Source organism: Homo sapiens, chromosome 10, assembly GCF_000001405.40.
Source record: "Homo sapiens chromosome 10, GRCh38.p14 Primary Assembly".
NCBI classification, from domain to species: domain Eukaryota; kingdom Metazoa; phylum Chordata; class Mammalia; order Primates; family Hominidae; genus Homo; species Homo sapiens.
In genome coordinates, this window is record NC_000010.11 from 62,491,324 (window position 1) to 62,508,223 (window position 16,900).

Consider the following 16,900-nt stretch of genomic DNA (forward strand, 5'->3'; position numbering starts at 1 on the left):
ATTGTTTTTCACTTATCATATGGGAAAAGATCAAAAAGTTTGATAACACCTTTGGCTAGTATCTAGGACGACAGGCATGCTCATACTTTGCTAATTGAAGTATAAACTGTTGCTACCTCTTGGAAGAGTGATTTGAGAATGCCTGGTTACAATTAAAGGGCCTCTAATGCTCTTTGATTTAGAAAATCCACTTCTAGGACTTTTCCTACAGATATACCTGCATTGGAGTGGTAACTATATATATATATATATATATATGTATGGGTATTTATTGCAGTATTTTGTTGTTGTTGTTGTTGTTTGTTTTTGTTTTTTAATCCTGCTTCTTTTGTATGCAGAACTATTTTGAATAGCAAGAGATTAAAAACTAATCACCTATAGAAAAGGGCCTGGTTGAGTAATATATATTACAACATGCAAGTAAGCATTACACAACTGTCTAAAACAATGAAGCAGTGTTATACACTGATATGGAAAGTTCTCCAAGATATGTTAAGTGAAAAACAAAAAAACCAAACAAACCAATGTGTAGAATGTGCTAATATTTGTTAAAGACACACATGTGTGATGTACTTTCCTGGAATAATGTAAAGGGTGGTTACCTCTTAGAATAGGAACTGGGTAGCTTAGGCAGACTTATTTTCAACCTATGTGCCTTTTGAATTTTATGCCAGATGCTTGATTTACTGATTTAAAAATACAAATAATTTTGAAAAAGTTAAAATAGATGTATGAAAAATTGATTAGAAAAGAGCAAGAAAATAAGCCTTTAGAGGTGTCATCAAGGTACTCTGCAGTGAATTCTGAAATGAAACAAATTAACAAATAAGTGAGACTCTATTTTAGCTCCTGCTGCAAATTCACTTGAAATCCACCAGATGGCACAAGAAAATGCGTTGTGAACAAACTTGGACAGGTTGGTGCAGGTAGCAAATGGGATTGGTGAGAAACTAGGACTCAGGAAAACAAAGGTTCTCTCCAGACTGATTCTAGGTGAGTGCATTCTAATTCCAGGCTAGCCATGGACATCAAGGGCATGATTTTGTCATGTCAGCCAGGTGATGCCAGGAATCACCAAGTAGTATCGACAATTATAAACATGGAATTATCTACATATCACAGCCTCTGCATGAATGGTTTATTGAACGCTCCCTTCCTCAACACAGAATTCTCTTTTTTTTTCTTCCCTCTTAATCCATACTTAATGCTTTATGAAAAGAGGTATTTGTTTCTTGGTAAGCCATGTTTCTTTAATTAAAGGAGGAGAGTTGGGAGAGATCCACTGGAAAAGGAGAAAATTCTGGTTTCACAATATGCACTATTTATGAGGGTGCTTTGCTGTTGAAACCTATTAAAGGCCAGCCCAGCCTAGTTTGCCTCTTGCCCTCCCAGGAGACAATTACTGTCCTGCATAACAATTTGAAGGAAATATCGGATGTGGTCGAAAGACCAGTTGTGGCCCTCTCTCTAGCAACCATTTCTGCTTAGATTTCTTAATTGTTTCCACCACTTCCTTTACTGGGCTTGTGGCCTTCTGTGTTCTGCAGGATTCTGAGCTTTCATAAAAGCCTCCCATTCTCTCTGGAACTCACATGTGCAAGCAGATACTTCCTGGATCCCAGAGCAGCAGCACCTTAGAGAAGCGGCTCCAGCCAAATTCATCTAGTGCACATGCACATGGGAGCCTTTGCAACGCCTGGGCTTCTTTTTGACCACGGGGAAGAAGGCCCAAGTGGTCCAAGCCACTCTCTTCCCTCCTTATTCAGCCTAGCTTTCCCTTCCTCCACTCCCAGAGTTCTGGTCTGTTCTTAGCCCCTACTGAGAGTGTCTTTGCCAATGACTTTCTCCTCTCACCTCCTTGTAGGTCTGTTTCAGGTGTGGCCTTCCGAAAGATTTTGCCAGGTAAGACAGGACTTCAAGGAAAGGAATAAGACAGGAAGATTCTTCAATGGTACAGTTTTTGCCATTGAAATGCCCAGGTAGAGAGATATGTAGGGAAACACTGAGGACTACTGGAGAAATGACCACCTTTTTTGCTAAAATGAGGGACTAGCTCTCTTATCAATCCTGCCTCTGACCTGTGGGCAAAACACTGGCACAGAGTTAGAGGCAGGCAGGGGTGTGGGACCAGGAGTCAGAGTAGCCTCATCTCAGCACTGTGACCTCCATTTAGGGAAAGACTGCACTTACTATCCAGAGCCTTCGTGTCCTCCTCTCTACAATGGGAATAGCAGTTATCAGTCAAGTCCACCTCAAAGAACAGTTGAGAAGAGGGATACATTCGTAATTTATGTAAAAGAATTTTGAGATTGGTGAGATGTTTTGCATCCATGGAATATTAATAAAACCACAGCAGAACTAGCTTATGTATTGGGAGGTATGTTGATAAGAAATTATGGCTGTGATGGGACCTAGGAAACACTGCCATGGTGTCTTTGGCTGAATGTGGGGCTTAATGCAGGTGAGGACATGTGCTGGGTAATTGAAGTCACTACAATTCTTCCAATATGGGCTAAATGCAAGGAAAGCTCCTCTGCCCTAGGTAAAGAGCTGGCTGCCTTTTAGGAAATTGAGGCTTTTTAGTGAAAATATCAAAGCTGGGTCCAGGAGCTCACACTTGTAATCCCAACACTCAAGTGAGATGGGAGGATCACTTGAGCCCAGGAATTTGAGACCAGACTGGGCAACAAATGGAGACACCATTTCTAAACAACAACAACAATAACAACAACAGCAAATTAGCCTGGTGTGGTGGCACATGCCTTTAGCCCCAGCTACTTGGGAGGCTGAGGTGGGGGGATTGCTTAATCCAAGGAGGTTGAGGCTGCAGTGAGTCATAATCATGACACTGCACTCCAGCCTGGGCAATAGTAAGTCTCTCTCTCTCTCTCTCTCTCTCTCTCTCTCTATATATATATATATATATATATATATATATGTTTGTGTGTGTGTGTGTGTATATGTGTGTATGTGTGTACATATATATTATTTGAAATGTTGACAGAAGCCTCACATCAGTCCTTCTTGTCAATGAATGATAAATCAAATTCAATACTTGTAATTCTCCATTTGTATCTTAATTCGGAGCATCTGCCAATTCTTATCCCATTCTTTGCTTTTCAAATAGACTTGCAAACGTGGTTGTTACCAAATCTGGAATTGCACACACAATTCTCCCTAAACCCCTTCTGCCAGATTACTGTTATGTAAACCACCTTCTTTATAGTCCTCCACAGTTTGCAATGGTATTTTACTTGATTTTTTTTTTCAGTGAGCTCCCCACCTTTAGTGCTACAAGTCATATGCTACATTTACATTTAAGCAGTGGTCCACTTATAGAGTATGAAGAACTTCCACAAATCACATTCATTACCCACAAAGCACTCTGTAATACAGATACCACTTCTCTTTCTTTTTTATTTTAAGTTCTGGGATACATGTGCAGAACATGCAGGTTTGTTACATAGGTATACATATGCCATGGTGATTTGCTGCATGTATCAACCCGTCATCTAGGTTTTAAGCTCCACATGCATTAGCTGTTTGTCCCAATGCTCTCCCTCCCCTTGCCCCCAACCCCTGACAGGCCCCGGTGTGTGATGTTCCCCTCCCTGTGTCCATGTGTTTTCATTGTTCAACTCCCACTTATGAGTGAGAACATGCGGTGTTTGGTTTTCTGTTCCTGGATACCACCTCTCTTTCACAGATGAAGAAACAGACTCAAAGGGATTTGCTGATTTGTCCAAAGATGTAGTTTGTCAATTCAAAGTAAGAATTAGGACTTAGCCCTATAAACTGTCCCTGTTTTAGCAGCACCATGTAAGAAGTCGCAACAGTGCAGGAAACATTGGAGTTTCATGATGCTGAATGAAAGAAACGACACGTGACATCTGTCATGGAGCATTTAGTCGTGACTCATTGGCTGCTCTATCCTGCTCCACCTATTTTCTAAAATGTGTTGGAATGTGTAGCCCCTGAGACTCCACAAAAAAAGAGGCTCCCTTGTCCAAATATATTTGGAAAATGTGGCATATTACACTCGCCCTCCTCTCCTACAATGTGCACATTAGCATCGTAAAGGCCCTGAGAAGTCCTCCACTAAAGAAATCTGTTTTACCTTGTTTGACCCTATATTTCCCAAGCTTATTTGGGCACAGACTTCTTTATATAACATCTATTAAATCTATTAAAATCCTGCAGAATTAGTGTGCCATGCAGGGAATACGCTTTTGGAGAAGTGTATAAAAATGATTTGAGGGAAGTTGAGAAAGTCAGAGAAGGTAATCAAAGGGGATTTAAACTAGTCAAGAAAAAGTGTATGAGAAAAACAGGCAGCACAGTTGAAGGATACCCCTCAGAAGTCTGTGAGCTGGATGCTGCTGCTGTGTGCCTCTGACAGCTCTTCATCCAGGCACTGACCCAGCTCTGGGCCTCAGCTTCCCCATCTCTAAACCGAAGGGGTTTGCCTGGGATTTCTCTAAAGCTATTTCCCTCCCAAATTGTCAGTTACATTTTCCCCAGGAGATCCTGAAACTAATTCCGTGAACATTTTTATTTGCAACCTTTTACTTTGATATAACTTGAAATTTAGAGAAACATTAGAAAAAGGACACATGAGGAATTTTCTTTCCTCCGATTCATCCGCTGTGTATATTTTGCCATATTTGCTTTCTAGTTCTCCCTCCATCTCCCTCTTTCTTTCTCCCTCCCACCGCCACTTTCTCCTATGCTCTCTCATATTCTTTTTCTCTGAACCACTTGAGACTAAGTTGGAGATATCATTCCCCTTTTACTCCAATACTTCAGGGTGAATTTTCTAAGAATTAGGACATTCTCTTATCTATCCACAGTATCATCATCAAAATCAGCTACTTAACTTTGATACAATACCATCATGTAATTCATAGTCAATAATGAAGTTTTATCTATTCTCTCAATATCTTTATAGCTACCATTCCTCCCCTAAACTTCATTAACTTTGTATAGAGGGCAAGGTTAAGTCAATGTTAAAATCATTTGGGAGGCCGAGGAGGGTGGATCACGAGGTCAGGCGTTCAAGACCAGCCTGGCCAACATTGTGAAACCCCGTATTTCCTGAAAATACAAAAAATTAGCTGGGTGTGGTGGTGGGCACCTGTAATCCCAGCTACTCGAGAGGCTGAGGCAGGAGAATGGCTTGAACCTGGGAGGCGGAGGTTGCAGTGAGCCGAGATTGCGCCATTGCACTCCAGACTGGGTGACAGTGTGAGACTCCATCTCAAAAAAAAAAAAAAATCATTTATCCACCTAAAATGAAATAAATGGAGCATCCCATTTCCCCTGTCCTCTTGTTTCAACACTGGATAAATGGGTGGAAGAGACAGATAGGAGAGGAGTGAAAGTTGTCTGAAAAGTATTAGGCAATAAATTTTGGACTTGGTATGTCTATTCAGCCATACAAGAACAAATGCCTCCGTGCATGTTAATTGTTTTACTGAAAGTCTTTGAGGTTTACAATGAGAAAAAAACTGATTTATTGTGAAAATCAGCACTTTCTGAAAAAAGAAATTTGGTCACTCCTCCTTCTTTTATTTATTCTCACTGTGCATATATATTTCCTTAACTAGATTATAAGTGCCTTTGAGTGATAGCTGGCTGATTCAGAGCACAGTGAAAGATCCGACTGGCTAGAGAAGCTTTATCAAAGAAAAGAGCAAGGGATGTGTTTGGAAAGGTAGGTTTGGCACAAACCTTGAATACTTAAATACATCGCTTAGGATTTAATTCTTTTCTTCTTTCCTAGAAAGAATTATTGCATCATAATCTTTCAGCAGTGGAGGGCAGATGAAAGAGAACAGACTTTGAAGTCCTAGGAATCAAATCTCAGCTTCACTGCTTATTAGCTGAGCATGTTCTTTAACCTCTCTGGATCTCACTGAAAAAATATGTATCTTAAGAAAGCGGACTGAGAGGTGGGCTTCAATGAGCTAACATGTATCAAGTGCTCATCCTTCCTCTTCCCACTTGCGTATATCTCATATCCTCAAATATTCTCATTTGTTAAACGCTGAAAGTCTAAAATCAACTTCTCACAAGAATTTAACATTTACCTGGGATCTACACATTTGGGAGAAGGAATCACAGAAATAGGAATATGGTGATGCTGCAAAACACCTTCATAAAGGGGGTTTGGACATTTCAGCCTGGATTGTATTGATTGCTTCCCTCTTACGTGTGTTTGGTTTGTCATCTTCACTCTTTTCTCCAGATTTCTCCATTCTGATTGGAAACCTCAAATACAACAATCTGGCTTTCACAATGAAGGTCCAACTGCAGGTGCTCAAAAAATGAAGCCCAGGGTCTCTTTCCTTCCTTGAGGAGGAAGGCAGTGTCAGCTGCTTGGAAGAAGTTGTTTGGAAAATGTGTACGTTTGTGTGGTTTGGAAACCTCCCTTTTCTTTCTCCAACTTTTGGAGAATTTTTGACTCTCCTTGGAGACCCATGTGGGAGGAAGGTTTTGGCTAAGTAAGGGTTCTGTGGGAGACCCTTCTTATCTGGAGCCAGTGCTGAGACTGGTGTCCAAAAGAGAGCACTATTTCAGGAGTCCCCAAACGTGCTGTGTATTTGGTTTTGGAAAATAATTTCCAAAAGGCACGTGTAGCCACTATTTGTATCCTTCTTTTAAAAAGCAAACAGCGAATGTGCAGCCAGCATTAGGCAACAAATGTCAAATATATTCAAGCCCATCGTCAGTAGGCAAAGATTAGTTGTTATAGAGAGAAGCCAATTGCTTTGAGCCATTATTTTGGCTTTGGGTGGGTGGTTAAATAAGAAAAGGAGGGGGGTTTAAGAACAAGATGAAACAAAAATGTTGAATGGAAACCATTTTCTTCTAAGGGGGCTGTCAAGCAAAGCAGTGATTCCCCTACAACCCCTCTTTCACCCAACCAAGTTTAGACTTGCTTGACACAATGACTGGCATTTCCGCTCTCAGGTAAGAATACTCCAAGTAAGAAGCTTGCTCGTGCAACTGTGTTTTTATGGACTTGTGTGATATGTCTGATGAATTGAGTTAATTCATTCATTAACTTAACTGGCAAGATTTAGTGGTTCACATTGAAAGCATGAATAACCATTTTGTTCCTTGAATGACTCTAGTTTAATGCCTCCTGATGTCAGTGTATTTTGCCCAGGGTAAAACTTGCTATATGAATTATTCACTGCTGGATGGAATGAATGGGGCCATGTTTGCCCACAGAATGTTAGCTGCAGTTATCTGATACGATGGGGCACAGTGGCTGCATACAAAGGACAATGGATAATTTAGAATGGGGTTTTAGGGCTCAGCCATTGCAATTAAGATCTTTGTAGACAGCGCAGCACCTTTTTGTCCTGTGCCACACATCATGAGAGCCTCAGTGAGCCAAGAAACTCTTGGTCTTTAAAAAGCAAAAAAGATCTAAGTGTGGTTCAGAAGTGGGCACTTTTGTCTTTGGTTAAACTTTTGGTGGGGGGGTGGAGGGCAGTGGGGGAGTAGAAATACATTTAAGAATTTAAAATAAAGAAAGAAATTAGTAATTTTTATCATTGTGGCTTCACTGATGTGAAATGAAATATTTTTGGTGAAGAAGAAGCAATGAGGAACCTTAACCTTCATTTAGAATCAAGGAGATGCAAGCCTTTCCATTTAGGAGCATTTGGGGTGAGTTATCTCCTTGGCTAGAGTGCCCAGCTTCACCACTGAAATGCCTCTCGTTTAATAAGAATGATTTATAATCTGGAGACACAGTTAATGCAATTTAGTGGGAGCTGATAAATGAATGACTGAGTTTACTTATACAAATAAATGGGGCATTAATCTTGACTTTGAATTTCCTCATTGGGTTTTCTTCATAGCCATTTATGATATTGTGAGTGACAAGAAGAAATGATTGGCAAGTTTTAATGGTTGGCAAAACTTTTCTAATTGTTTTTAAACTTTATAAACAAGACAAATAAGCCTTGAGATTGAAATATGGATTAAACTGCTCCATCCTTTTAGTGTTTACAGCTTAGTGGTAGACAGCTTGTTAACATTTGCATTCAAAAGGCACCATGAGGCACAGCTGAAATCCCAGCCCAGCTTTGAGTCTTTCTGTGGCAGATCTGGGCAATGCCACCAGGGTCTTGCTAGCATCTGTTTCCTAAATACAGATCCACTGGAGAAGTGCTCACCCCTAATTTACTCTGGCCAAGAGGTATGGTACAAACATGGCAACAGGTTCCTATTCCTTTTGTGGATGGAGAGTTACTTCTCAGAGAAGGGAGATCCCAGGCAAGGATGGCACCTGTGGTAGGCTGACTGCCCCTCACCCCCAAGACATCCATGTCTTAATTCCTGGAACCTGTGAATGTTACCTTGTATGTCAAAAGGGACTTGCAGATGTGAATAAGGATCTTGACATGGGGAGATTATCTTACATTACTTGGATGGGAACTAAATTTAATCACAAGGGTGCTTATGTAAGGGAGGCAAGAAGGTCAAAGGAACATTTAGGAAATGGGATGATGGAAGCTGGAGTGATGAAAAGACAGGCTCACAAGCCAAGGAATGCAGGCAGACTCCAGAATCCAGAAAAGCTAAAGAAACGGGCTCTCCCCAAAAGGATACAGAGAGAACCAGCTCTGCCAACCCTGATTCCACCCTGATTTTAGCCCAGTGAACTGATTTGGGACTGCGGCCTCCTGAACTGTAAGATAATGGATTGTGTTGTTGTAAGCTATTAACTTTGTGGTAATTTATTGGCAGCCTTTACAACAGCAGCAACAGGAAACTAATATGATATCCAAATGGTCCCTCCTTTGAGAGTATTATAAATATCTCGAAAAGATCTCTGTTTTCCTTGATCCTCACCCTCGCATAAGTTTCAAAGCCTAACGTCATGGTGTCATCTATAAAGTTGTTAGTTCACTGTAAAAGAACTGTTGAAATATAGACCATCATGTCACTTCCTCCGAATCAGAAGACTGTGTGTTGTGGAAATACTGTATGCAACAGGGAAGGCTATGTTTCCAAAGAGAAGTAAAGCCTTCCCCTTTGCATATGGTAAAGCTCAAGTAATTGTTGATACAAGGACAAATAAATGCATGGAGGAATGCAGGGGGAAAAACAGCCATTGAAAATCAACAAGTAACTCAACCGTTTCTGTTTAATATTAGATGAGTTTCAGTGTTAAAACTCATTGTAAGACATAATATTAACAAATGGGAAAATCAATGCTTGGCTTCTAAATTAGCCTTTGTTTTCATTTGGGTCTAATAAAAATGCTAAAGGAAAACCTGATTTAGTCTTCCAAAATAACTCTTTGAGTTTTTTTGGGATATGCCTGCAAAAGATACATTTTCTTTTTACTTATTTTCCCCTACATTGCTATCCACTAGAGCACATATCACTACAAAAACTCACTTTATGGGGGAAACATGTCAAGTTCATTACAATTTGATCCTGCTGGTCCCTTTAGGACAAGCTGAGACCAGTGTTGTGTTTTTGATTCTCAGCTACTTTCCCAGTGTCTTCATGTGGGGAGGGAGAGTTAGACAATTATTAAAAACTTGGAAGTGTCTTGAACTTTTATTGACAAATTCTGATCCTTTTCTGATCTTCATTCCCCTTCATTAATATATCTAGCATTTGACACAGCTGATCACTCTGTCCATCTCTCCTCTTTTACTGCTATAACTTTGTACTCACTTGGTTTCCCTTCTACCTGCCCAAGAGGTTATGCATCAACTCCTCTTCTCCAGCTTTTGTTCTACTTGTAAGCATCTCCCCAGTCTCAGTTCTTACTTCTTGCTCTCTTTCTTCTGTGGGCACTTCTATTTTGATGACAACTCAAGAGTCTTCTTTCTCCTGACCTCTATCATAGCACCCAAAAACAACCTCCAGGTAATGCTACTTGGGTAGTTCATCGCCTCTAATACATCTATAGCCTTGAACAGGGCTATGGCTTCTTCTGTCCCAGTGCCCTTGCACATGCTCTTCCCTCTGTCTGAAATTCTTCCTCCTCTTCTCTTTGCCTATCAGATGCCTACAGATCCCACTGTATATGTCCCTTCTTCATGGAAGCACTCCCTGACCACCCTGACTAGATCAGATTCACATTGTAGGATCTCTTAACACCTGGTGGGAAGAAAAAAAAATTAAAATCCCTTTTTGAGAAATAAAAATATGACACAAAAATTAGTACCCCTATAAGAAGGAAATCAATTCTGATTAAAGGGAAATTAGGAAGCACATCAATGGGAACTAAAAATATTTTGTTTTTCAGAAACTTTGCTATAAAATGCTGATAGGGAAACTGAATTACAACTTAGTGAACTAAACCAAGAGCCTTGTTTAGGTGACTCAGTGATTAAGCAAAAGTCCTGAGTATGACCAACTGTGATATGCTCTACTCTCTAGCACCCAAAGTTATTACACAACTTTGAGCTAGAACTTGTGTTTAACCATCTGACATTTAAACTGTGGTAACTGTGGAAAGCCATAAATCATGGCCAGTATAGAAGAGAATGACTGTTCATGAATTGTACCTGTTGTTAATCACTTTAGCCATAACCGAACTTAAAAAACAAACTCCCTTAGGTTTTAAAAATATTTTCTCTTCCATAGCCTACCTCTATATTCTGCCACATATCTAAAAAAATTCTATTGTGATATAATTCACATGCTGTACAATTCAATCATTGAAAGTGTACAATTCAATCTCTTTGAGTATACCCACAGAGTTGTGCACCCATCACCACAATCAATTTAGAACATCTTCGTTATCTACAAAAGAAACCCTACATCTCTTAGCTCTCACCCCCCAACACAAAATCTCCCCATACCCAGCCCTAATTGGCTTTCTGTCTTCATGGACTTGTTTACTCTGGGCATTTCATATAAATGGAATCATACGATATGTGCTGCTCTATAACTGATCTCTTTCACATAACATGATGTTCTCAAGATTCATGCATGTTATATCATAAATTGGTACTTCATTCTTTTTTTGTTTTTTTTTTTGAGATGAAGTTTTTCTCCTGTTGCCCAGGCTGAAGTGCAATGGCACAATCTCAGCTCACTGCAACCTCCACCTCCCGGGTTCAAGCAATTCTTCTGCCTCAGCCACCTGAGTAGCTGGGATTATAGGCGCACACCACCACGCCCAGCTAATTTTTTGTATTTTTAGTAGAGAAGGGGTTTCATTATGTTGGCCAGCCTGGTCTTGAACTCCTGACCTCAGGTGATCCACTCACTTCGACCTCCCAAAGTGCTGGAATTACAGGCCTGAGCCACCGCACCTGGCCTCTTCATTCGTTTTTTATGATACAATAATGTTTCACTGTACCACATTTTATTTATCCATTCATCAGTTGATGTCGTTGTGTTGCTTCCACTTTTTGGCTTTCGTGAATAATGCTGCTATGAATATAAAATGGTTTCTGAGGTTTGAAAGCTGCCTGTACCTTTTTCTCCTCTCTGTAGTTATTTAAAAATAAAAGGTAGCTTAGACATTTCTAAATCCGAAGCTGTAACACAAGTTCCATTTTTTGGCAACTGTACAAAATTTATTTCACCTGTTGTTAATGTTAACTATCTGTAGTTATCTACATGACATTGGTTTTCCCCCCATCTGTGAGCTCCACGAGGATAGCAATCATATTGAGTTTTCTTGTTGCTGAATCCCTGGCAACTTGTCCAGTGATTGGGGTGCATTAAATCTTTCTTGACTAATTTTGCCTAACCCCAATCTTAGATTGGCCTCTCAAATTCCCCATTTCCGTTAATGGTATTACTATGATCTCAATAACTTGAGATCAAATCAGTCATATTTGACTCTTCTCTTTTTCACTCCTTTTATATCTGATCAGTCAGCAGTTTTTTGAAACCCTGTTCGAAGCAGTTCTCAACACTTGTGCACCCATTCTTTCTCCTACACCACTCAATCTAGACCCTCACATGTGGCTGTCCTGCTTTCCTTCTCTCCTACTTCTAAGCTATTCTGTGGAGAGATGTCAAAGTAATCTTCACAAAAAATCTGATTGCATCACTTCACTTCCCTCTTTATTAGCTCCCAGTGGTTTCCAATTGGCCACCGATTAGAAGGCCTCGACTCAGAGTTGGAAGAATTTCATAATATGATTCCTGAAATCATGAGGCAAGTGCTACTTCAGTCTTTTCTAGTACTCTCTCCTCTTGATTATTAGAAGATAGGCTGTACCTCTCTGGTCTATTGGGTTGGACCCAGATTTTCAGATCAACTGCTTAACATTGTCAGGGAGGCAAATACTAGTAATTTGTAACATTTTTATGGCCAGCTCTCTTCTCATCAACCAGTGCCAAGACTGGTTCAAAGATTAGTGAATATTTGATTCACTAATGTCAAATCACTACATTCCAACCCAAAACATATTTACTTTGATATTTTAATCTCTTTCCAAAGGCCCTTACCCATAATAATATTCTGTAAGGAATTCCCTATATACCGGAACTTTCTGCTTTCCTATCATAGGGAACATCATAAATAGATCATTAATACATCTCCCACATTCTATTTCTTGTACAAGCTCATATCTTCCACGGTGCTTGCTATGGTGCCTTGTGTATGGTAAAAGTAAAGATACAGAGAAAGTCTAATTTTTTTTCTTAATGGAGAATTTCTCCCCCCCAACCCCCAAGCTAGAAATGTTTGCTTTTGTTATGTAAATAATTAGATCATCATTTACATTTGGAGTGACAGCCTCACTTCCAGTGGCATGTTGAGATAACCACAGATTGTTGCTTAAGGGACTTCCAGAGAGTTTTGGCCTGGTAAACTATCTTAGCTTTTTGCTTTATTTTGGAGTGTGCACCACTTTGGGGTCAAAGCTGAATTGTTTGGAACAATAGCGGAGATTCTGAGAATGGGTTCTGTTGGGGAAGGGGACAGCCAGTAGCTAGAATCTAAAAAAGGCTATGGGAGTAAATAAAAGGGTTCAAAGAGGATTTTATCGAGGTTTTTTTTTTTTTTTTTTTTTGCATGTAGTTTGCAGTTAAAACCCTCTTCCCTCTCCACAAAATTTTGTGTCATCTGCTCACAAATTTTAAAATAAAATCTACATTGCTTGCTAAGTCCTTGTGGGATGGTTTGCTATCTGGGGCTAAGATTTTGCTGAATTAGGCCCCAAGGTTGATGAAGATGACAAAAGAGACTGCCAGTGACAGGGCAGCTATGTAGGCTTTGCATACATTTTAGGTAAATATGTATTAAATGAATACGTTTTTCTTGTCTTCTTATGCAGATGATATTCCCCTTGCCTCTAGGTGATTTGTAGAGGAAGTATTCAATGGTGACTTCCTAATTAAGGAGGAATGTTCTGTTAATTCTAACTTGTCTTTAAAGGAGGAAGAAAAGGCACTTGCTGGGTATCCTCTTTGTAGCAGACTTTCACATTTAATCTCAGTGAATCCTTACAACCTTGAGAAGTAAATACCATTAGTATTATCCTGATGATAATTACCTTTTCTAAATGATTATTACTTTTTCTAAATGAAAAAACTAAGGCTCAATAAATTTAAATAACTTTCCCAGGTACATATCATCAGAAAATGATAGATTTGGGATTCAAACCCAGATCTGTTTGACCCCAAAGGCCTCTGTGAACTCTACTATGAACTTCCATTTGAGAGAGAGAGGGGGAGAGAGAGAGAGAGAGAGAGAGATAAATTGCTCAGAGAGAGAGAGAGATAAATTGCTCATTAAGATAAACTAATTTGGTTTTGTATTAAAAACAAGATCCTTGATGCTCTTGTTTGCCTTACTTTGTTTATGTTCCTACTGTATATTAATTGTCTGTCAGTGACTGGCACCCAGTGTCCTGGGTGAGCTTTGGTTGTTACAGATAATGTTTCTCAAAAGCCTGGCTGGATTTTACGTGATCACCTACCCCAGAAGATTATGAAGTAAATTAGAGCTGTTAAATAGATCTGTTAATTTGAGGAACCACCCCCAAACCCTCTATAATTTGTATGCCACAGACAGGTTGGTAGCTAGCATTTCTTCCTTTGCAATCACAAAGATAGAATCTTTTCCTTATTCTTGATTATTTCATTTTTGTCCATAGAGAGTTGAGGATAAAATCCTTCCCCATATTCTTTAACAACCAGCTGTCTTTAGATTCATTGAATGATAGCCTGCCTCAAAAGTTAGAGCTAGCCATAAAATTGTGCATATTGAATATGTTATGTCATTCGGTGGCAAATTACTGAGTTGTCTTTCAATGTAATCTTGAAATAGCAACAAGAAAAATATTTTTTTTTTCAACTCTCAATGATGAGGATGGCTTCCTTCTTCCAAGGTGGATTATCGGTTAAAAAGTCACAGGACTGCGAAATTGGGTACTTCTGGTTACAAAAGAAAGTCATCAGCCATTGGGACCATTCAATAATGCAACCGCAAGTCAAGGCTGTCATTAAGACCAGCCTACTGTAATTGTTCATTAGTGGTATCTAGTCAAGTAAAAATATCATCCTTAGAAGCCAATTACTACCAAAGCAGTGGTGGTTTTTGTGGTTGGTTTATTTGAAAATTATTCCTAGAGATCTTGAGAAAAGAATCAGACTTCTTCAGTAGTTAATGTGTTATTGATTCAATTCAGATTTAGCTTTCTTTTAAATATACAATGTATTAGAATGTGAATGGATACCTGCTGATTAGGTTGATCGGAGGAAAAAGAAAAAGTTACTTCCCAAGACAAATTGGTTAAGAAAAGCAAGTCAAGTCAATAAGCAGATTTGACTGGTTTGGGTGAGGTTCATTGTTTTACTGATTTTTACTGGCACATTCTTGCTTGTTACTGTTTAACAGTTCTTGTGTGGCTCTAGAAATATTACCATCTCTAGAATTGTGACAACCTCCCTTAGGTTTGCTCATTTGGGCTCCCAATTGCATTCAAGAAATGCTTAATAGGTACTCATTATAGGTGGGCCCTGCTTGGATAAAACTAGAGCTGCCATATTGTTTTACGAATGTAAAGCCAAGAGAGACTTTTCTTGTAGCGAAACTGAGAGGCCTTCCCCTTTTCAGCCATACCCACACACAGACTTGGGAATCAGTCACCTTCAAGAGATCTAATTGGGTTTTCATTAGACCCCTGCTTTCCAAAATTCAGCTAGAGCCCCTCTAACCCCAGACTTCTCGAGATTCATGCAAGATCCCTGGGGCTTGAATTTCTACCCTCCCTCTGGCTCCAAGTTCCTCTTTCTGTGAGTCTCTAACTTCCACTTAAGGCCCACCTTCTATTGTATTTCCCTTCTGTCAGCTAAGCCAGGCTCTGAACTGTCCAGATGTGAAATGTGGCCCCCTTTCTGTGCTTTCTTCCTCAAGCCCACTCATTCAAGGCATATGGTCGTTAACTGTTAACTATAGCTCTCCAATAAGTGGTAATTGACTGTCTAGGATACCGAGAATAAAAGCACATTCTAGCAAATGATTCCAGACCATGTAAAGATTTTTTAATTATCTTTTTTCTTTTTAAATTCCATTTTGTCTTTCTTTTTATATTTTAAGAAGCAGTTTCTGACAAGGAGTTTCCATAATTCAGTAATGACTTCCTTAGCCAGGTATAAATTTTATAGAGAGGTAATCTACATGGTATCTCATAGAGGCACTCAAATTTTTCTCAGTTGACAAATGAAATACATGGAAATAATCCATGGCAAAAAAAAATTTCTCAACACAAATTTGACTTATAGATAATGTATGATCAAGGTTAAGGATATGCTATTCTAATAAATATTACTCAATAAAAAATATTTCTAATGAAGTTGTGGGTAGCACATTATCCACTTTTCAAATGATTTGCTTTTATACGTTTCTATTTTTTGCACATTCCAGAAAGAGTCATTTTGATTTAATTGAAAGCAACTGTGAAAATCAAGTCAATTTAACATCATTTATAAAAATAATCTTTTAAAATGGGCTGAGTGATTGAAGGAAAATGCAGTTTTATTTCCCTTTTTTGGATCACTAAAACAAATTCATTATAACTTGCATAGATTAAATCATAGCTGAAGATTTAGCAGGGAATTGAGATTACTAGACAATGAAAACTCTTCTGTGGTCAAAGAATTTTTTTCAGAGCCACTTAGTTGAAATGCAGTATACATAAAAGCCTAGTGTATTTTGGCAACTCTTAACTCTGAGATTTACATCTTTTGCTATTCCACTTTAAAATTAAAATATTCAAAAATGTCTTTTATTCGCCTTTTCAGCCATTTAGTTTCATTCCTTACACTATGCCCTAGACATGGTGAACCTGATTGCCTGCAGAGTGAATTAACGAGTCTTTTATGTCAATGGGAGTTGATTAACATTTGTGACATTTTCAAATCAATCCTCCTATGTTCTCCAATTATGGCCTCATTGTGGTTAGGCACCATCCTAGGGGAAAGAAACAAAGGGTGGGTGGGAATCATCATACTTACAACTGACTTCAGAAAAGCAAATTAATAAAGGGAAGTGTCTCTAAATTATGTTTCCTGTTGTTGTTTGTTACAATAAATGCTGAATGCAAATGCATGTTCTTTAAGTGTCTTGGCTGTCCTTCAAAAATGTGAGTTATTTTGACAGAAGGCAAAAGTTCTTTCCTTCAACCTGTCTCCATAGTTAATTTAGATTAATTTGGTTGTTTTTTCAACATGTGGGCATTTCTAAACTTTAAAGTTAATAGTATTTACACAGCAAATGTACTAAACAATAACATTACAATATCACAAAAATGATATAAGATGATTTTAAATGAAAATATAAGATGATTTTAAATGAAGGTTATTTAAAGCTATAGCTGGTTTTTATACTACATAAATTAGGCTAAAATTTATATAACATATATTTGTATTTCAAACATAATATAATATATTC

The 16,900-nt window shown here is 38.8% G+C and overlaps 2 annotated features.

The window, feature by feature from the left end:
* Window positions 15,765-15,934: an enhancer, noted in NCBI's record as "experimental_13640 CRE fragment used in MPRA reporter constructs". NCBI's record gives its function as "activates a minimal promoter by MPRAs in K562 erythroleukemia cells, with activity observed for the non-introgressed 10:64266932 or rs78993715 variant allele {active_cell/tissue: K562}" and the evidence as "EXISTENCE:reporter gene assay evidence [ECO:0000049][PMID:34662402]".
* Window position 15,850: a transcriptional cis regulatory region, noted in NCBI's record as "Neanderthal adaptively introgressed variant 10:64266932 (GRCh37/hg19 assembly coordinates) or rs78993715 in the experimental_13640 CRE". NCBI's record gives its function as "modulates activity of the experimental_13640 enhancer by MPRAs in K562 erythroleukemia cells {active_cell/tissue: K562}" and the evidence as "EXISTENCE:reporter gene assay evidence [ECO:0000049][PMID:34662402]".